This window comes from Homo sapiens, chromosome 1 (assembly GCF_000001405.40).
Source record: "Homo sapiens chromosome 1, GRCh38.p14 Primary Assembly".
NCBI classification, from domain to species: Eukaryota; Metazoa; Chordata; class Mammalia; order Primates; family Hominidae; genus Homo; species Homo sapiens.
Genome location: NC_000001.11, coordinates 77,136,076 through 77,159,617, shown reverse-complemented (window position 1 = coordinate 77,159,617; position 23,542 = coordinate 77,136,076). Strand labels below are relative to the sequence as shown.

The window sequence follows — 23,542 nt, the reverse complement described above, 5'->3', positions numbered from 1 at the left end:
AAGACGTGGGCTCCCATGTCCTTGGGCAGCTTTGCCCTTGTGGCTTTGCAGGATACGGCCCCCATCCTGTTTGCTTTTACGGGCTGGCATTGAGAGTCTGTGGCTTTTCCAGGTACACAGTGGAAGCTGTCAGTGGATCTACCATTCTGGGACCTGGAGGACGGTGGCCCTCTTCTCACAGCTCCACTAGGCAGTACCCCACTGGGGACTCTGTGTGGGGGCTCCAACCCCACATTTTCCTTCTGCACTGCCCTAGCAGAGGTTCTCCATGAGGGCCTGCCCCTGCAGCAAACTTCTGCTTGGACATCTAGGCATTTCCATACATCCTCTGAAATCTAGGTGGAGGTTCTTAAACCTGAGTTCTTGACTTCTGTGCACCTTCAGGCTTAACACCATGTGTAAGCTGCCCAGGCTTGGAGCTTACACCCTCTGAAGCTATGGGCCAAGATGTACTTTGGCCCATTTTAGCCACAGCTGGAGTGGCTGGGACACAGGACATCAAGTCCCTAGACTGCACAGTGCAGGGGGTCCTAGGCCCAGCCCACAAAATCATTTTATCCACAGGCCTCAGGGCCTGTGATGGGAGGGGCTGCTGTGAAGGTCTCTGACATGCCCTGGAGACATTTTCCCCATTGTCTTGGCAATTAACATTTGGCTCCTCATTACTTAGCAAATTTCTGCAGCTGGCTTGAATTTCTCCTCAGAAAATGGGTTTTTATTTTTTATTGCATTGTCAGGATGCAAATTTTCTGAACTTTTATGCTCTGCTTCCCTTTTAAATATAAGGTCCAATTCCAAACCATATCTTCATGAATACATAAACTTGAATGATTTTAACAGCACCCAAGTCTCCTCTTGAACGCTTTGCTGCTTAGAAATTTCTTCCACCAGATACCCTAAATCATCTCCCTCAATTTCGAAGTTCCACAGATCTCTAGGGCAGGGGCAAAATACTGCCAGTCTCTTTGCTAAAGCATAGCAAGAATCACCTTTGCTCCAATTCCCAGTAGTTCCTCATCTCCATCTGAGTCCACCTCAGCCTGGACTTTTTGGTTAAAACCATTCAACAAGTCTCTAAGAAGCTCCAGACTTTTTCGCATCTTCCTGTTTTCTTCTGAGCCCTCCATACTGTTCCAACATCTGCCTGTTACCCAGTACCAAAGTTACTTCCACATTTTCGGGTATCTTAATAGCAGTAACCCGCTCTGCTGGTACCAATTTACTGTATTTGTACATTTTCATACTGCTATGAAGAAATACCTGAGACTGGGTAATTTATTAAAAAAAAAAAGAGAGATTTAGGCTGGGCTCAGTGGCTCATGCCTGTAATCCCAGCACTTTGGGAGGTTGAGGTGGGCGGATTACTTGAGGTCAGGAGTTCTAGACCAGCCTGGCCAACATGGTGAAACCCCATCTCTACTAAAAATACAAAAATTAGCTGGGCATGGTGGCACATGCCTGTAATCCCAGCTACTCGGGAGGCTGAGGCAGAAGCATCACTTGAACCTGGGAGGCAGAGGTTGCAGTGAGCTGAGATTGCGCCACTGCACTCCAGCCTGGGTGACAGAGTGAGACTCTGTCTCAATACAAACAAACAAACAAACAAAAATAACAAAAAAGAGGTTTAATGGGCTTATAGTTCCACATGGCTGGAGAGGCCTCACAATCATTGTGGAAGGCAAAGGAGGTGTAAGGGCACATCTTACATGGTGGCAGTCAAGAGAGCATGTGCAGGGGAACTGTCCGCTATAAAACCATCAGATCTTGTGAGACTTATTCAGTCATGAGAACAGCATGGGAAAGATTTGCCCCTATGATTCAGTTACCTCCTACCAAGTCTGTCCCATAATATGTGGGACTTATGGGAGCTGTAATTCAAGATGAGATTTGGGTGGGGACATAGCCAAACTATATCAACTACTTTCTAACTTCGTTTTGAAGATTATATATGTTGATGTTTATTAAATCTTGATATGAATTTGAATATTAAAACTTGTGATAATGCTACTTTAACTGTAAAAAAATTATAGTCACCTAAGTTCCAATTACTTCAATTTGAAAGTTCTCATTTTTGGATTGTACATTTTATAATTTATGTAAGGCATGACATGCTATCTCGAAAGTTTAAATATATGTACCTTGCACATTGAATATCTAATGATCGTTTAAAAAATACTTCTATTGATTATACAGGAAAGATTAAGGAAACTAATTTTTTTATTGCTCTTAATTGCTATTTAGTTTTTAATAAACATTCCTCACTAATACCTCATCTTACCCTACCACCTTTATTTTTAAGATTTAATGATGACTATTGTAATCTTATTCAATAAGAATGATTGATTTTCTGGCAGTTTACTGGGGCAGTGACTTAACCTATCTCTAGCTCAATTGTATAATAATACCTATTTTCTATTAGAGTATATGTGTATAGTAAAGTTTGCTGAGTATCAGCTGTATTCACAGCACTATGTTAGTTGCTTTAGGAGTAGCAAAATTTGAAGACCTGGTGTTAGCCCCTTAAAAATTTATAGTGTCATTGGTGACAGTTGAAGAGCACATTTATAAAACATTACTTGTTATGTGAAATGTCTGGATCCTCCAGGTAATTTTCTTTCCTTTGTGAACATATAACTCTTGCCATGTACCTTTATTATACTTTTAGTATTGCACTGTAATTGTTTATATTTGTGATGTTTCCTCAAGGCTTTGAGCTTCTTGAATGCGAGGTGTAAGGACCATGTTATATTCATCTTACACTCCACAGAACTTAATTACAGTACCTGGTTTATTTGTAGATGCTCATTGAATATCTACTAAATGAATGAAAGGACATGATAACAATGCAATTTATATGGTTCCTTTAAATATAGTGAGATTAGTCATAACTTTTTCTTGGAAAAGTAAGTACAGGTTTGAAGGAAGAGAAGAAGTATAGCATACTCTAGGGAAATAAAATACCCGCAGACACATGGAAGTTGGAATAATGGATGATCCTTTTCTTTGATAATGGGTTGAAGGAAGGATGGTTTGAAGGAAGAGAGGTATAGCATACACTAAGGAAATAGAATATGTGCAGATACACAGAAGTTGGAATAATAGATGATTCTTATCTTTGATAATGGCCTGGCTAGAGTGAGGACATTCTGTAATTGAAGGAGATTATTGAAAATTAAACTGAGTAATATGGGACCTGTGGGTCATTGTGTTATGTGAGCTAAGGAAATCAGATTGATATGATAAAAATTCTTAAAAGAAAGGAGTGACTTCATAATAAGGTGAAGTATGTTTATTTTGGCAGCAAAGAATAGGATAATATTATTCAGTGTTTCCCAGGCCCATTTGACTATACTCTTAAATGTTTTCTTCTGCTGGTACCTAAGAAAGCCCATCAAGTTGTTCATACAGGAATACCCAAGAGATCTTCAGTATTCTTGGGACTTTCAACTTTATCTCTGCTTATTTTATTTTATCTGTCATTTTTTTCTCCAATCTTCTATCTGTTATTCCTGTTTGGCATTTTACTTTTTTTTCCTTTTTAATTTGTATCCTGAGTCCTTCTTTGTGTTTCCTTGTACTGCTTTCCTGAATAGGGATGACAAGGATTGCTGGCAGTGTGGTATTAGGTAAATTACTTAATCTCTTTGAGCCTTAGTTTGAAGTGGAGATATAAGTTTTGTATACCTCAGAGTTATTGGTAGGCTTAAATGAGAATATCTGCAAACTGCTTAGCACAGTGCTTGGAACACTGTGTTTTATAAATTGTAGCCGCTCTACCCTTCTCCACCTTTCTGCCTTCATATTGGTGATTGCCAGTGCAGACAGTCTTATCTCTACAGGTGGATAGGTGCTGTGCGCCTGGACCCTTCCTGGCAGGCCTATAATATTTTTCCTCATATCTCTCATGCTTCAGCCAAACTAAATAATTTGCTTTGCACGTCTCTGCAACTGCTCTTTTATTAGGAATGCTCTTATTTCCCACCAGTAAGTCCTCGTTTTCCTTCAAGAAAAAAAAAAATGGCTTGAATTTCACTCTCTGTTTTTTCCCCATCCTCAAACTATAAGAAGTTTATCCTTTTCTGAAGTGGGACTTATCATTTTTTTCTACCTTGTTATGTTTATTCATCTGTAACTAGACTTAAATCCTTGAGGACAGGACCATGTCTTATCAATCTTTGTATCCTCTGTGGAAAGTAACAGTATGAATTCTATGTAATAGACACTTTATATGCTTTGCTGAGTGAGTGAATATATGTCTGTCCTTGGTAATTCACTGACATGGAGTATCAGTGATAAGATTAACAGAAAAATTACTGTGATGTCTGTTTTGCAGTGAAGTTGTGGCTTTTCAGACTGTATTCTTTGGAGCACTGGAGTATTTGTGGAGGTAGCTTGGGCTTATTTTCATAAATAAACTAAGAAAGTGCTTTGATATATAAAATGCTACATAGGAGTACAACAGAGAGCAAGAGGATATGCAGTAGAGAGGCTGTGCTTCAGTTTTCTAAAATCCAGAGCAACTCCACTTAAATGTTTTTTACATATTGGGGCTCCATGTACTACTTTATTTGAATTTGAAGTTTGAATCAAGAGGCATGATTACAAAACGTTTGAAAACCATTCTAGTAGAACACTGCACTGTGATGGATACAGACAAAGAAAAAGAGCAATTCTGTTTTCATCGTGTTGAGTATGAGTTCTCAGAGTTAAGGGTTCACAATACACTTTGAAGCATATAATTCAAGAAAGTGAGTATGCCTTTTCCCACAGTGGCCAGCTACCTTTTTATTACTGTCCTAATGTCTGTATAGTTTTCTTAAAATTCCAAGCATTATGATAGGAATGAAACTTTAATCTTTAAGGTCTTTAGAACACATAGCTTCTTTAGGTTGGGAGAGTTTTAAAAATACACTATAGTTTAGTGAATTATGTGATTGGATTTAATAAATGTGGTATGTGTGTGGATGCATGCATTTATTATTATATATTTTTTCAGTTTCAGGTATGTCCCAAAAGTCTGTGTGTGTCTACTCCTGGACATCGCACTGATCTTTTTCAGAGGGATCCTAAAAATGTACTGATAACTGATTTCTTTGGAAGTGTACGGAAAGTGGAAATTACAACAGAGACTATTAAATTGCAACAGGATTCAGAAATCATGGAAAGCAGGTATTCATCTTAAACCATTATTTGAATAGAATACTAGTCTCACAGTTTGTACATTTTTTTGAAACATTGTATTAAGAGGCAAAAGTTGGTGTTTGTAAATAAAATTACACATTTATACCCAGTCTTCACTTTATGTAGGCTGTATGCTTTTCAGATTTATATGTAAAAACTATCAATATTAGTGGAAACTAAGATCATCGTTAGGATTATGTTGGAGCTCCAAAAGACAATCTTGCTAGTGGTTCAGTTTGATACTTGCCACAAAGGCCTAAAACTTTTCCCATAACTGGCTATCCCAGCGCCATAATTTTCTGTTAGGCCTCCTGGTAACATTAGGGAAAGGAATGAGAAGTGTAAACCAGGTACTGCCTTGGGGAGTGAATTGTATGTGAGTGAGCAGTGAGTGAGTACAGACATTTGTAAGAGAGAGGAAGTTGGGAGACATTGGTTCACTTTGGGTATGTGAATTTTAGAAATACTTATAATTTGTTTTATTTTCTCTGTAACCATTTTTAAAGGTAAAATACTTTATTAGAAATAAATAATGGGTCAGTCAATAGCTACTTTCTTGAAATATATAATGGCATATGTTGTTAGCCATGAAACTTTGTTATTTGTGATTATCTGTTGCTATCTATTAGAAACTCATACTATAGGGAACTTTTTTGGATTGAAAAATGGCAATATATACAATTACAGCAATTTTCAAAATTTCAAAGATTTGTAATTGAGCTTATGAATGTTGTAGGAATAAATTCAAACACTGGCACAAGATGCTTTTCTTTGATTCTAGTTACAACAGTTTCTTTTTTTTTAATTGATGTATAATATTTGTACATATTTTTGGGGTACATGTGATATTTTGATACCTGTGTACAGTGTTTAATGATTAAATCAGGGTAACTGGAATATCCATCACCTCAGACATTTGTCTTTTCTTTGTGTTGGGTACATTACTATTTTTTTCTGGATATTTTGAAATATGCAATAAATTGTTAATAATTTCCCTACTATTCTGTCAAATACTAGAACTTATATCTTCTAACTGTATTTTTATACTGCTTAACCAACTTCTCTTCATTCTCCTCCCAAACACTTTCCCTACCCAGCCTCTGGTCTACCCTCTACCTCCTTGACATCCACTCGTTTTGCTCCCACATGTGAATGAGAATATGTGATATTTGTCTTTCTGTGCCTGGCATATTTCACTTAACAATAACTTCCAGTTCCATCCATGTTGTTACAAATAACAAGATTTCATTCTTTTTTGTGGCTGAATAACATTTTATTGTGTATATATACATTTTCCTTTTCCATTAATCTGTTGATGGACACATCTTGATTCCATACCTTGGCTATTGTGAATACTGCTGCAATAGACATGGGAGTGCAGATAACTCTTCAGTATACTGATTTCCTTTTTTCTGGATATGTAGCTAGATGTGGGATTGCTGGATCATATGGTAGTTTTATTTTTAATTTTTTGAGCAACCTCTGTACTGTTTTCTATAATGACTGTCCTATTTTGCATTCCCACCAATAGTGTATGAGTGTTCCTTTTCTCCACATCCTTGCCAGCATTTGTTATTTTTTGGTCTTTTTTATAAGCTAACTGAGATGAGATGATATCTTGTAGTTTTGATTTGCATTTCTTTGATGATTAGTGATTTTGAGCATTTTTTCATATACCTGTTGTCTTCTTCTGTGAAATGTCTATTCAGATGATTTGCCCATTTTATAATTAGATTTTTTTTGTTTTTTTGTTTTTTTGTTTTGTTTTGTTTTGTTTTTTGCCATTGAGTTGTTTCAAATTCCTTATATTTTCTGGTTATTAATTGCTTGTCAGGTGGATGAATTGCAAATATTTTCTCTCATTCTGTACGTTGTCTCTTCACCTTAAACATTGTTTCCTTTGCTATGCAGAATCTTTTTAGCTTGATGTAATTTCATTTTTCTGTTTTTGCTTTTGTTGCCTATGATTTTTGAGGTTTTACCTAAAAAATTTCTGCCCAGAATAATGTCCTGGAACATTTCCCCAGTGTTTCCTTTTAGTAGTGTCACAGTTTCAGGTCTTAGATTTAAGTCTTTAATCCATTTTGATTTGATTTTGGGATATGGTGAAAGTTGGGGATCTAGTTTCATTCTTCTGCATATGGATATCCAGTTTTCCCAGCACGATTATTAAACAGAGTGTCCTTTCCCAATGTATATTCTTGGCACCTTTGTTGGAAATGAGTTGGCTGTAAGTGCTTGGATTTATTTCTGAGTTTTCTATTTGTTCCATTGGTCTGTGTGTCTGTTTTTATCCCTATACCATGCTGTTTTGATTACTGTAGCTATGTAGTATAATTTGAAATCAAATAGTATGATGCGTCCAGCTTTGTTCTTCTTGCTCAGGGTTGCTTTAGCTATTCTGGGTCTTTTGTGGTTCCATAGAAATTTTAGGGTTGATTTTTCTATTTATATGAAAAGTGCCATTGGAATTTTGATAGAGATTATTGCATATGTATAGATCAATAAATATACTTCTTCTGGTAGTATGGACATTTTAGCAATGTTATTTCGTGCAATCCATGAGCATGGGATGTCTTTCCATTTTTTGTGTCTTCTTCAATTTATTTCATCAGGTTTGTGTAGTTTTTCCTGTAGAGATCTTTCACTTTGGTAAAATTTATTCCTAGATTATTTTTTCCTTTGGTAGGTATTGCAAGTGAGATTGCTTTCTTGATGCCTTTTTCAGATTGATAACTGTTGGATAAAAATGCTACTGATTTCTGTATGTTGATGTTATATCCTAAAACTTTACTGAATTTGTTCATCAGTTCTAAGAATGTTTTGGTGGACTCTTTAGGTTTTTTTAAGTGTAAGATCATGTTGTCTGCACACAAAGATAATTTGACTTCTTCCTTTCCAATTTGGACACGCCTTATTTCTTTCTCTTGCCTAATTGCTCTGGCTTGGAATTCCAGTACTATGTTGGATAGAAGTGATGAGAGTGAACATTCTTATCTTGTTCCAGATCTTAGTGGAAAGTCTTTCAGTTGTTCCGCATTAAGTATGATATTAGCTGTGGGTTTGTTATGTATGGCCTTTATCATGTTGATGTATGTTCCTTCTAATCCAGTTTGTTGAGAGTTTTTATCATGAAGGGATGCTGAATTTTATTGAATGCTTTTTCAGCATCTGTTGAAATTATCATATGGATTTTGTCCTTGATTCTGTTGATCATGTATCATGTTTATTGATTTGCATGTATTGAACCATTATTGCATATCTGGGATGAATCCCACTTGATCATGATGGAATGGTCTTTTTTTAATGTGCTGTGGAATTCAGTTTGCTAGTATTTTGTGGAGGATTTCTGCATTTATGTTCATCAGAGATATTGGCCTTTAGATTTTTTATGTGTGTGTGTGGTGGCCTTGTCTGGTTTTGTTATCAGGGTAATGCTAGCCTCATAGATGAATTTGGAAGTATTCCCTCCTTCAGTTTTTTGAAATAGTTTGAGTAGACTTGGTATTAGTTCTTTAAATGTTTGGCAGAATTCAGTAGTGAATCCATCAGGTCCTGAGCTTTTCTTTGATGGGAGATTTTTTACTACTATTTTGATCTTGTTACTCATTATTGGTCTGTTTAGATTTTCTGTTTCTTTCTGGTTCAATGATGGTAGGTTGTATGTGTCCAGGATTTTATATGTTTCTTCTAGATTTTCCAGTTTTTTCGGCATGTACTTGTTCACGATATTGTCTAAGGAGCTTTTGTATTTCTGTGGTATCAGTTGAAATGTTTTCTTTTTTATCCCTGATTTTATTTATTTGGGCTCTTAATCTTTTTTCTTAGTCTAACTACAGGTTTGTCAATTTTATATTTTCAAAAAACTAACAGTTTGCTTTGTTGATCTTTTATATACTTTTTAGTCTCAATTTCTTTTTCTTTCTTTCTTTCTTTTTTTTTTTTTTGAGATTGAGTCTTGCTCTGTTGCTCAAGCTAGTCTGGAACTCCTGGGCTCAAGCGATCCTTTTGCCTCAGCCTCCCACATAACTGGGACTACAGACATGCACCACCACACCAGGCTAATTTCTTTTTATTTTTTGTAGAGATGGGGGTCTCCGTATGTTGCCTAGGCTGGTCTTGAACTCCTGGGCTCAAACGATCCTCCCACCTTGGCCTCCCAAAGTGCTGGGGTTACAAGTGTAAGCCACTGCGCCCAGTCTGATCCTTATTTCTTTTCTTCTACTAATTTTGGATTTGTTTTGCTCTTGATTTTTGAGTTCTTTAAGTTGCATAGTTAAGTTGTTTATTTGAAATCTTTCTTTTTGATGTAGGCGTTTATTGCTATAAACTTTCCTTTTAATACTACTTTTACTGTATCCCATATTCTGATATGTTGTGTTTGTATTTTCATTTGTTTCAAGACATTTTTAAATTTTCTTCTTAATTTCTCCATTGACCCATTTGTTATTCAGGAGAATGTTATTTCCATGTATTTGTATAGTTTTCCAAAGGTCCTCTTGTTATTGACTTTTAGGTTTTTTTTTTATAGTCAGAAAAAGATACTTGAAATGATTTCAGCTTTTTTGAATTTGTTGAGACTTGTTTTGTGACCTAACATATGGTCTATCCTGGATAATGTTTTATGTGCTGATGAGGAAAATGTATAATCTGCAGCAGCAGACTGAAATGTTCTATAAATGTCTATTAGGTCCATTTGGTCTAGAGTATAGACTCCAATCCTTCTTTGTAGATTTTCTGCTTGGATGATCTGTCTGTTGTTGAAAGTGGGGTGTTGAAGTGCTATACTATTATTGTATTACAGTTTGCCTCTTCCTTTAGATCTAATCATATTTGCTTTATATTTGGGTAATACTGCAATGGGTATATACATATTTACTATTATTATATTCTCTTGCTAAATTGACTCCTTTATCATTATATGATGACCTTCTTTGTTTCTTTTTATGGTTTTTGACTTAAAGTCTGTTTTATCTGATATAAGCATTGCTACTCATGCTCTTTTTTGGTTTTCATTTACATAAAATATCTTTTTCTATTTGTTCATTTTTTGTCTGTATCTTTATAGGTGAAGTGAGTTTCTTGTAGGCAACATATAGGTGGGTCTTGTTTTTTAATCCAGTTAGTCATGTCTTTTAATTATGATGTCTTTTAATTGGAGAATTTAGTCAATTTATATTCAGTATTATTATTGGTAGGTAAGGGCTTACTGTAGCCATTTTGTTATTTGTTTTCTAGTTATTTTGTAACTCCTCTCTTCCTTTTTTTCTATTTTCCTTTGCGATTAAATGATTTTCCCTGGTAGTATGTTTTAATTCATTGCTTTTTGCTTTTAGTGTATCTATTATAGGTTTTTGCTTTGTGGTTACCATTAGGTTCATTAAAAATCGTATAGTTCTAATAAGTTATTTAAAACTGATATGGCTGGGCGTGGTGGCTCACGCCTGTAATCCCAGCACTTTGGGAGGCCAAGGTGGGCAGATCACTAGGTCAGGAGATCAACACCATTCTGGCCAACATGGTGAAACCCCATCTCTACTAAAAATACAAAAAAATTAGCTGAGCGTGGCAGTGCGCACCTGTAGTCCCAGCTACTTAAGAGGGTGAGGCAGGATAATTGCTTGAACCCAGGAGGCGGGGGCTGCAGTAAGCCGAGATCGCGCCACTGCACTCCAGCTTGGCGACAGAGCAAGACTCTGTCTCAAAAAAAAAAAACCAAAAAACAAAAACTGATGCTAACGTAACTTCAATCACCAAAAAAGAGAAAAGAAGCAAACAAACAAACCAAAACCTGTGCACATTAACTCCCTCTCCCCCGACATTTTGAATTTTTGATGTCACAATTTGCGTTTTTTTTATATTGCCTATGTTGACAAATTGTTTTGTTATATGTTCTGGAAGAATGGAATTTGGCTCTTAAATTATTTGTATGTATTAGCACAGTAGCAAAAATTGTCATTGCCGAAGATTGTTGTTTTTAATCAAGGAGAAAATTACTTTAAATATCACAGCCAGATATCAAGCACTGTTGAATTAGAGCACCCTCTAGTGTTTATAAATAAATTTTATTTACAATGTTGCTATTTACCAGATGGCTTCATAATTATTGGTGTACTTTATTCAGTTAATTTATGAGAATCAGGCTCCCAGTGGTTCAGGAATTTTTACATAGATGCTATAAATATTATCTCATTGTATGTAGGTGCTGTTTGCATGCAAATATGAATGGCAATCCAAAGTTTATTTAAAGTATATAATGAGAGATCAGATATCATAAAAAACTATTTTATTAAGGAAATTATAGGCTGGAGTATATATGCATTTAAAAAAATCTTAGGTTAAATTATCAACACACTGTTATTAAAATTGACAGTTAGAAATACTTTCTACACATATTAGGGAAACAGTGGAGTCCATTGATTCAGTTATTCATATTTTATATTTTGTGTAGTACACTAGAGTAAAATCAGATATGATGGAGAACTTTAGTACATAAAACTGATTGGGAGTACCTTTATGAAATAAGAATTGTTTTTATGTGTCTTCTGAAACTTACATATGTTAAGTAAGATAAAGTTATATAGTAACAACCCTTTGTTTCTGCATATGTCTTACTAATTGTGTTGTAATTTATTTGCAAGAGCAGATGAGGTAAAATAAGGACTGATTGTAATAAGCTTTGCTTAGGTAACTTGATTTTAAACAGCTTCATCGTAGTATACATAGGCTGGCTTTGGATAAGTATGCAGACAGATAAACTCTCTTCCTCTTCAAAGAGTTGGGTTTTTTGAATCTGGTGGTAATTCTGTGTCAGAAAACCTTTTACTGAGGTTACCAGTTTTGTATCTTTTCTGTATTAGGAAGATATCCTCCAGGTTGTGACTGTAAAAATTTTGCACATTTTAGTGTTACCAAATTTGTAGAAGTCTAAATTCTATAGAATTACCTAAGGAAAAACAGAATCTAAGACATTATGAACTCTAAACACTCACCTCTTATGTTAGTGGGTTAGAAGAAACTTACCTAGTCTGAATTTTTCTCCCCTGCCCTCACCTCCCCTCCCGTTCCCTCCTCTCTCCTCCTGATATGGTTTGGCTCTGTGTCCCCACCCAAATCTCATCTTGAATTTTACTTCCCTAATTCCCATGTGTTGTGGGAGGGACCCGGTGGGAGATAATTGAATCATGGGGGTGGTTTCCCCCATACTGTTCTCATGGTAGTGAATAAGTCTCACGAGATCTGATGGCTTTATAAGGGGCTTCTGCTTTTGCTCCCCTCTCATTCTCTCTTACTGCCACCAAGTAAGAAGCGCCTTTTGCCTTCTGCCATGATTTTGAGGCCTCCCCAGCTATGAGGAACTGTGAGTCCATTAAACCTATTTTTCTTCCCAGTCTCGAGTGTGTCTTTGTCAGCAGTGTGAAAACAGACTAATGCACCTCCCCTCCCCTCCTTCCTGTCTCTCCCTTCTTTCCCTCATCTTCCCTCACAGGGTCTTTCTCTCTTGCCTATGCAGAGTCATAGCTCACTGTACCCTTGAACTTTCAGGCTTAGGTGATCCTCCCACCTCAGCCTCCCAAGTAGCTGGGACTACAAGCTCAAGCTGCCATGCCTGGCTAATTTTTCTTTTACTTTTTTTTTTTTAGACAGAGTCTCGCTGTGTCGCCCAGGCTGGAGTGCAGTGGCACAATCTTGGCTCACCGCAACCTCCGCCTCCCGGGTTCTAGCAATTCTCCTGCCTTAGCCTCCTGAGTAGCTGGGACTACAGGTGCATGCTGCCATGCCTGGCTAATTTTTTTGTATTTTAGTAGAGACGGGGTTTCGCCGTGTTGCCCAGGCTGGCCTCGAACTCCTGAGCTCAGGCAATCCACCTGCCTCTGCCTCCCAAAGTGCTGGGATTACATGTGTGAGCCATCTTGCCAGGCCTCTTTTACATTTTTTTTAGAGACAGGGTCTTGCTATGTTATCCAGGCTGATCTAAAACTACTGGCCTCAGGCGATCCTCCTGCTTGTGTCTCCCAAAGCACTGGGATTAGAGGCATGAGCTGTGGTGCCAAGCCTCATTTTCTTAGTGATGTCTTTTGAAGGGTAGAAATTTAAATGTTGGTGAAATCCACTTATTTTTTCTTTATGCTTAGTACCTATTATGCAAGCAGTCTTTGCTTAACCAGGGTCATTAGGATTTTCTTGTTTTCTTCTAGAAGTTTTATAGTTTTAGCTTTTATGTGTAGGTCTGTGATCCATTTTGAATTAATTTTTGAGTATTGTGTGAGGTAGGGGTTAAGGTTCATTTTTTTTTCCATATGGACATCCAAATATTCCAGTAACATTTGTTGAAAAAATTACAGATGGTCTCCAACTTACTTACAATGGTTCGACTTATCATTTTTGACTTCATAGTGGGTTTATCATGGTATTAAATTCATTTTCAATTTACAGTATTTTTTATTTACAATGAGTTTATTGGGACATAACTCCATCATAAGTTGAGCAGCATCTGTATTTATTCCTCATTGAATTATGTTGATCCCTTTGTCAAAAAATCATGTTTTGGGGGTCTATTTCTGGACTTTATTTTGTTGCATTGTAATATTTCTATCTTTATACCACTATTACATTCTTGATTATTGTAGTTTTATAGAAACTCCTGAAATTATATAAGTCCTCCAAATTTTTTTTTTCATTTTCAAGGTTGTTTTCAGTGTTCTAGGTTCTTTGCATTTTCATATAAGTTTATGAATCAGCTTGTAGGTTTCTTAAAGTAAAAAAAGAAAAAGAATAAAAGCCTACTGGGATTTTGATTGGGATTGAATTAACTTTATATTGGGCTGTATCACAGCTTAACAGTATTGAGTCCTCACAATCCGTGAGTATATCTCTACAGTTATTTAGATCTCATGTAATTTCTCTATATTGTTTTATTGTAGATATTTCCTACACATTTTATTAAATTTATTCCTAAACATTTTGTATGTTATTTTTAAAACATTACATTTGTTTGTTGCTCAAATGCAGAAGTATTACAATTGATTTTATATTGACTGTTTTTCTGAGATCTTATTGATTTGGGGTCAACCCAATTCCAATCAAAACCCCAGCAGGCTTTTTATTTTTTTATTTTTCGGTAGAGATTGACAAGCTGATTCCAAAATTTATATGGAAATGTAAAGGACCTACTATAGTATATATTACATTATTGAACATATGGATTCTAGTCTATTTATAATATTTACTAGGAAATTAAATCAAAAGTTAAATTTACATATTCAATAGTAACATCTCTTTGAGATTCGGGTAAAATTGATTGTGAAGAATATGAAACTATGATCACATGATTCGCTTAAAATTGCTGATAGTAAATTGATACAATTATAAAACTTTATGAACCAAAAATTCACCAAAATGATTCAAGTAACAGTTGACAGGATTTCTCCTATACTTTTCTACATGTTACTATATTTTTCAAAGTGATTAATTTACTCATCAGTATAATTCCACATTATCTCAGCATTTTATTTTGTCATTTATTTTATATTGTTATTTACAGCTGTTTGTCACTTCAGTTATTCAAAAGCTCATTAAAATGAAATTTCAGAAATTAGATGTGATTCGTTTAATTTATAAAGGCACCAAAACATAATTAAATTACTCATTTTGTCATTTTGCATATGGATAAAGTTCTTATTGTTATAGTTTCAAAATGGATTGGTCATATCATGGGTAGTTTTTTGTTTTTGTTTTTTAGCAGTTTATTTCACTGCCCTATCTGTAATTAACAAAAGCGTCTATTGAGTTGCTTTATGACTTCTAAGAAATCAGTATATATAAATAGTATAGCACAACATAGTACCATATCCCTTTGTGTTAATAAAACATCTCTAAATATAAATTGGCAAATATGTTTACTAGGAGTAGTAGTTTCCAACTAATGTTTATTAATATTCTTAAATATGTCAAAGCAAAGTTAATTTTAATTTAAACACTAAATGCATAGCACCTAAACTTTTTGATTGTATAAAATCTACAAATCATATGATATTTATAAAACAATTAGAGGCAAATTCATTTGGATTTTTAGACGATAAAGTTCTGTATCATATGGAAAAATAAATTCTGAGACCCTTAAGGTTTCTTTTAGTTCTTTGATTTATGTCTTTTTGATTTATGTGACTCTTCTGATCTTTGCACTAATTGTAATATTATTGTTCCACTCCACTAAATTAAATCTTACCATTCTAAATGAGTTAACAGACTTACTTATTGTCTACTATCTGACATTATAGGGGATATTACAATATAATAATAAAAGCAAAGTCATTGGAATCAATAAGCTCCTAAATTCAGATCCTCTGCCGTTTACTAGCTATGTAACCTTGGGAAAACTACTGGACCTCTTCTGTCCTCAGTTTCTGCATCTGTAAAATGAGAATAATAACTCTACCTCATATAGTTATTAAAGTAATTTTTATTTTGCTTAGAAAGCACTTAATTCTATGCCTCAAATATAGTGAAGCACTCAGTAAGTGTTAAGTATTATTGAGAGAACTTATCTCACACACTGATAAAAATTAATTATTGCTAGAATTCTATTTGAACTGCATTTTAGCCATTTAGCTGGTTATCAATTCTGCTTTCAGTAATATAAACTAGTTATTTCATATTTGGTGGATTCTCATTTATAGAAATACTATACAGAATTTGGAAATTGTGTTGTACCAGAAGATGGCAGTAGTATCATATATTTGTATATAGGGAACTGTCTAATATTTTTAAATGCTGGCGATCAAGGTAGGTTATACCTTCAAATAAATTATGATTGTTGTTTTTTCAGGCAACTGGTAGAGAAAAATAATTTTGATATTGAATTGTCAGTTTATAAAGGTTGGTAAAAATTTCTCTCTATATGTAAATTTTTTTATATGGCTTTTATTATGGGGGAAAAATGGACCTGGTAAATGATACAGACCTGCGGTCTTTGCTTATGATATCCTTTATGTTGGATATCAATTTTGGGTCACAAAAATTTTTTATAAAGGATGGTAAAAATTTCTCTCTATATGTAAGTGTAGGCTTTAAAAAAACCTAACAATATGGAAGTTTATCTATGAAATAGATGAATCTATCAGATACTTATGGCATATTTTTAGATATTAGTTTCCATGTTATTAAATACTTGACCAAGAAATTGAAGGGTCAAAAAAAGTTAAGGGGTGTTTGTGTGTGAGGATTATTTATTACTAATTAGTAATAAGACAATCTTTATTTCTAGCTTATCATTGGGGAAAGTGTATTCCATTTTAAAAATTGATTTATACAATAACACTTTAGGATTGTAGCTGTTAGGTAAAACAAGAAGGAAAAGACATTTACATTAATATATAAATCTGTAATCCCATTTCAGAAATGTCAATTTTTGTTGGCATAATGGTGTGCCTTGCTACTGGGTTTTCAAATATTCTACAAGTGAAGTATGGCCAAATTGCCCCCTCCTAGTGCTAGAAGAAACTTTTAAGGCAACATGATCTAGTAGAAAGAGCACGGAGATGAATGGACTTGCATTCAAATTTTGCTTTTTTTGGGTTCCCAATATGGTTTGACTCTGTGTCCCCACTCAAATCTCATCTGGATTGTAATCCCCATGTGTGGAGAGAAGGAGGAAGGTGATTGGGTCATGGTGTGATTTCCCCCATGCCATTCTTGTGATAGTGAGTGGGTTCTTATAAGATCTGATGGTTTTATAAGTGTCTGGCCTTTCCCCTGCTTGCACTTCTCTCTCCTGCCACCATATGAAGAAGGTCCTTGCTTCCCCTTTGCCTTCTGCCATGTTCGTAAGTTTCCTAAGGCCTCCCCAGCCATGTGGAAGTGTGAGTCAATTAAAATGCTTTCCTTTATAAATTACCCAGCTTGGATATTTCTTTATAGCAGTGTGAAATGGACTAATACAGTACCTTATTTAATCTCTCTAAGACTCAGATACTTTATCTGTCATAGGGTGATCTACTCTCTACCTTCTGAGTTATTTTGAAGATTGAAGGTAGTGTATATAAAATGAACATACTTTGTCAATGCCTTTTTAAAAGTGTGCCATCTAAAACTCATCACAGTCATATTGATGTCTTCCTCCAGTGCAAGAGATACAATGAGCAATACAATGCCATCTTTATTTGGTGTATTATAGTTCTGTTTCTATAGCTTGATTTGTGTTTTTATCAGCCATGCCATCTATAGCCCATTCTGACAGGAATTATTATTAGCCTGACTTTCCCATACTTACCAGTGTAGCTGACTTAAAAAACAAAACAAAACAAAACAAAAAACAACTCAATTTCAGGATTTATGCCTATTTCTTTATGTTTTTATCTTACTAGTGTTAATTCAGTATTATAGCCTATTAGTCTTTTTTAATACTCATTCTGACATTGCCATATTAGTATTGAACTATTTATGGCTTTTATTGTGGGGGAAAAATGGACCTGGTAAATGATACGGATCTGTGATCTTTGCTCATGATATCCTTGATGTTGGATACCAATTTTGGGTCACAGCTGTTAACTTTTATTTGTTAGAAAGCTGATTTCTCAGGGCTTAATCAAAAAAATCAAAATTTAATAATAAAAATTTTTTGAATAATGCCAAAGTGGACCTAAAAAGTCAAAGTAAGGTTATTTTTGTGAGCTTTTATTAAATTAATATAGTAAATATTGTTTAAAGTATGTTTTTCTACAGATGTTATAGATAAATTACTATCAAGTAATTAAAGATTTTCATTTTGAAATTATTTTTCTCATAAAAATAAAGGAAAATCAGGGGACTTACCAACATTGACGAGCTGTATTATGCTCCATCTTTCTCTGCTTTAAATTCATTCATTATATACAAAGTTCTTGTTATACTCAAAGATATTCCAGGCTTGGTACTTTCTTTAATTTGATGAAATTGTGACTTATTATTCTGAAAGTACTTTTACTAAGGGAAGCGTGCAGCTTATATTGTATGGAATGCCTTTTTCAGTTCCTTCATTTTAACTTCAATATTAAGAGCCGTTCTCTGTTCCTTATCTGATGGCATCAGCTTCTAATATTAATATGTTCTAGTATGATTTCCCAAGAAGTAAAGAGCAGACAAAATAATGAAATATAAGAGTTCTTAGGATATGATCTCAGAATACCTATGTCACATGATAACTAAGTGTGCTGGCTGAGAATTATATTGTACTACACTGCAAGTAGTAATGGACTTAGTTTGCTTGGCCTGAACTATATTGCCAGCCAGAGATTCAGAGATACTTGGTAAGCAGTTTAAACTGGGTTTTATTAAAATTAATATATCTAATTTTTATAATGTTTATTTCTTTATAGCAAAGATGTGTATATTTAGAGCATGTATATTGAGAGATGGAGCAAGAAAATAGTATTTTATATTTCTCTTAGGTGATTTAAAGATTGCATGCTTTATAGCAATCTTTGGTACTTTTCCTTTAAGGTACTGAAACAGGTGATAAGGAACTATACAGTGTGACATACAGTTGTAACTACTGTAATTGCTATGCATAAGCAAGGTATTTTAAAAGCTTATATCTAACTAAAGGGAAAGCTCTAACTTATGCTTTAAAAAATAAGTGATATTCACAATGATTTCTCTTTTGCATGTAAAAACACTGATACGTATCTTCTAAATCATAGAAAATGATTAAAATTAATCTTGTATGGTTTTAGTGTCAAATGTAGTGGTTTTTTTTGTTTTGTTTTTCTGCTATTTCTTTGAAAGTTAGATATAGTAAAACCTTGAATATCCAGAAATTAGGTAACTTCTGGTAATAAAAGAGTACATGACGTTCCCATGAGTTAACACTAAATATGAAAAAACCCACTTTTACCTTAGATGTTGTATTAGGTTGTTCTTGCACTGCTATAAAGAAATACCTGAGACTGGGTAATTGGCTTATTGTTCTGCAGTCTGTACAGGAAGCATAGGGGTATCTACTTTTGGGGAGGCGTCAGGAAGCTTCCAATTATGGTAGAGGGCAAATGGGGAACAGGCACATCATATGGTGAGAATAGGAATGAGAACCGGAGCAAGTGTAAGTGAGCGGGGCAGGGGGGTTGGGGGAGAGTAAGAGAGTGAGAGCAAGAGAGAGAGGGAGGGAGGAAGGCAAGGGTTTGGGAGAGAGTGCAAGAGAGAAAGAGTGAGTGAGTGTGAGCATGCACTGGGGAGGTGCCACACACTTTTAAACGACCATATCTTGCGGGAACTCACTCACTATGGTGAAGACAGCACCAAGCCATGAGGGATCTGCCCTCATGACCCAAACACCTTCCATCAGGCACCACCTCCAGCATTGGGGATTACAGTTCAACCTGATATTTGAGCAGGGACAAATATCTAAACTATATCAGATATAAAAATACAGCTTGAATTCAGTAGCCTTTGGCATTCATAGTTTCACATTTCATTAGAAGGAAACATTTCTCAATAAAAGAACACCCTGTAATATTAGAATGAGATACAACATTTCACTTTCTCGGAACAAAAAATTAATGTAAATGAGTTTAGAGGGATGGTTTGAAGTTAATAATAAAGAATAATCAATTGACTTCACTTTTGTAATGTTGCTGACAGGATTTTTCTGAAAATTATTCCGTTACAAGATACCTAGATGCACTATAAATTATATTTTAAAAAGATCTTTTTAAATGCTTAGCTGAGCTGCCAAGAAAGTAAGTGTGTAGAGACAAACAACATTTGATGAATAGCATTGCTGGCTTCTTCCACATTGAAGCAGAGCTGGTGGCACCCCCTCATTCAGTGGTAAGGACTACATGGGTTCTACTTCCTACAGTGTTTCTAGATAGTAACAGCTGGTGTTCTAAACATGCAGCTTCCCTGAGCAGTTGGCAGCAAGCTCAGACTGTCTCCTTTTGCAAGGACAGTATAGATTTACTTTAAAAAGCGGGAGTGTCTATGGGAGCCCTTTCTTGCTTTAGGGCTCTCATGTGATTTAGGGTTGTAATTTCCTCCTTGATCCAACCCATGGTGTTTCCAGCTGCACCTTCATCTAAAGAAACCTTTACAGGGGACTGTGTGACTTATCCTGCTATTGGTCTTTTTATCTAGTAGCAGAAAGTATTCGCAGGAGCCTATTGCTGAACAGTGGCTTGCAACAGAGGAAGCTCCACTTTGCTCAACAGTAGGGAAATCTCTTGGGAAAAAACACATAGACGCTAAAACTCAAGTGCCGAATGAATGTGGAAGGCAGGACGGCCTAACATGTACTAATATAGAAACCTAGAGTTTTGAGTTAGAATGGCTTTGTGTGAGGGTTAGGAGAAAAGACTGTGGATCCATTTGTTGACAGTTGAGCTTAAGACCTCTACATAAAACCATTAACTTCTAAGGCTTTACCCTCAATCAGAGAGTGGGCTGGAATAAAATCTAACAGCCTGAGGGGAAGAAAATGAGGACGTTTCTCTTGCCTTGGCTAGAGATATGGGGGTAAAAGAGGCTTCCCTGGGAATATGTAATCAGTCATACTCTCATGTGATTTAACATGGTTAACCTTCTTGGCCCAAGAAATTTAAAGTTGAGCAATTCAGTTGAAGTGATACTAGATTGATAGTAACCCAAAGCAAGACAGAAGCAAACTCAAATTCGATTTAGGAATCATTCTCAATTGAGGTTCCTCAGGATCCTCACGGATTAAGGTGTTCATGTTCTTAAATTACAGACAATTTGAGAAAGCAAGCTAATCCCGTGAGAGTATTAGTTTTCTACTGCTGTATAACAAGCTACCACAAACTCAGCAGTGCAAGACAACACCCATGTATTATCTCACAGTATCTGTAGGTTGGAAGTGTGCGTACAGGTTGGCTGGGTCCTTTACCTAAAGTTTCACAGGCTGAAAAAGACCACTTGATACTGTGGTCTCATCTGAGGCTTGGCGTCCTCTTCCAAGCTCACTCATTGTTGACAAAATTCAGTTCCTTGCACATGTAGGGCTGAAATCCCATTTTCTTATGAGTATTAACCAAACACTATCCATAGCTTCTATAAGCTGTCTTAGGTCCTTGCCTCATGGCCCCTCCAAAGGCAGTTCACAGTATGGCTGTTTGTGTCTTCAAAGCCTGCAGTAGAGTCTCTCCTATTTTCAATCTGTCTAACTTTAGGAAGGGCATGGTCCTTTTAATGGTTTGCCTGGTTAGGTCAAGCCCATTCAGGACAGTCTCCTTCTGATTAACTAAGTGTGAACTGATTTCAGACCTTAATTATATTTGCAAAATTCCCTCACTTTTGTCATATAACATAACCTTATCATAGGAGTGAAGTTTATCTTATTCACAGTCCTGCCTATTCTCCAGGAAAGTGGACAATACAGGGCATATGAACACCAAGGGATAAGAATCTTGAGGGTCATCTTAGAATTTTGCTTACCACAATACAGAATAATCAGGAGAATTAGACCTACAAGAACATTAGATATATGACTTATCAATTACAAAATACAAAATAACCATTTAAATTATTTTTTGAAATAAAAGGGGCCAGGCGTGGTGGCTCACTCCTGTAGTCCCAGCACTTTGGGAGGCCGAGGTGGACAAATCACTTGAGGTTAGTAGTTCACGACCAGCCTGGCCAACATGGTGAAACCCCGTCTCTACTAAAAATACAAAAATTAGCCGGGTGTGGTGGTATGCACCTGTAATCCCAGCTACTCGGGAGGCTGAGGCAGGAGGATTGCTGGAATCCAGGAGGCGGAGGTTGCAGTGAGCCAAACCAAGATTGTGCCATTGCACTCCAGCCTGGGTGACAAGAGTAAGACTCTGTCTCAAAATAAAATAAAATACAAATAAAAGAGGAAAATAAGATAAAATAAAAACAAAAGAAAGAAATGAAGGATTACACAAGGATTACATGATAAAGAATGATGAGGCATATTTGGAAAAGGCCAAATAGACTTTCATATTTGTAAACCACAATTATTCAAATTAAAAATGTAATAAACAGATTAAATAATAGACATATTATTGAGGTATTGATGCATCACAAACCATTCCAAAACTTAATGTCTAAATAACAACCACATATTTAGCTTTTGATTCTGAGGGTTGACAATGTAGGATGGGCTCAACCTTCATGGTTCTTCTAGCTTATGTTGTGCTTTCTCAGAATTTGTCATCTTTGGGTTGAGTGAGTGACTTCTGATTTTGGCTATACTATCTCACATTTCTGGGGCTTTTGATGTTGATTCAGCTCCCATGTGGTCCTTTATCCTCCAGGAGGTTATCCATGGGTCCCAAAAGCATGCAAGACGTTTTGTGGCCTAGATTTGAAACTGGAGCCCTGTTATTCTTGCTGCATCCTATTGTGCAGAAGGAATCACAAATCCAAGTAAAATTCAAGGGCTGGAAAAGCAGACTGTATCTTTTCTTAGAAGGAGCTACAAAGTTGTATCTCAAAAAGGTATGAATAGATACAGGAAAGAGTAAAAGATTTTAATGATTTTTGTAAGATTTCTCATACCTGAAAGGAGAATTAGTAAAATAAGATAGATCTAAAGAAATAACTCAGTATGAAATATAGACAGAGAGATGGAAAGTGTTAGGACAGGTTATGAGACATGAAGATAATATTGGAAACTGTTAGCTATGTCTAATTAGAGTTCCAGGGAGAAGAAAATATAGAATGAGCAAAAGGCAATATAAGAGATAATGGCTTATACTTTTGCATTTTGAAGGTAGTTCAACAAATCCAAAGCACAATACAGGGAGTATATACTTCATGTGAACATTTTAGAACTCCCTAAGTACATAAGAGATTTAAAAATCAGTCAAAGAGAAAAATGGCATCTACAATGGGTAACAACTAAGTTGACAGCAAACATCTTTTTTTTTTTTTTTTTTTTTTTTGAGACGGAGTCTCGCTCTGTCGCCCAGTCGCCCAGGCTGGAGTGCAGTGGCGGGATCTCGGCTCACTGCAAGCTCCGCCTCCCGGGTTCACGCCGTTCTCCTGCCTCAGCCTCCCAAGTAGCTGGGACTACAGGCGCCCGCCACTACGCCCGGCTAATTTTTTGTATTTTTAGTAGAGACGGGGTTTCACCGTTTTAGCCGGGATGGTCTCGATCTCCTGACCTCGTGATCCGCCCGCCTCGGCCTCCCAAAGTGCTGGGATTACAGGCGTGAGCCACCGCGCCCGGCCGACAGCAAACATCTTAATAGCAACAGCGGAAACCAAAAGATAGTACAGTAATACCAATAAAGTACTGAGAGAAAATTACTATTAGCTTAGAATTTAAGCTGGCTAAGCTACCATTAAGGACTGAATGAAAAATAAGGACATTTTCAAACATGCAAAAGCTGAGAGTGTTTGG

General features: G+C 35.8%; 1 protein-coding gene across 1 annotated transcript in view; it reads left to right on the top strand.

Annotated features, from left to right (window-relative positions):
* Positions 1-23,542, top strand: part of PIGK (phosphatidylinositol glycan anchor biosynthesis class K) — a 130,442-nt gene that overhangs the window by 59,813 nt on the left and 47,087 nt on the right. The window contains exon 9 of the mRNA NM_005482.3: positions 4,997-5,169. Within this exon, the coding sequence (NP_005473.1) occupies positions 4,997-5,169 (173 nt within the window). The remainder of the gene's footprint in view (positions 1-4,996; positions 5,170-23,542) is intronic.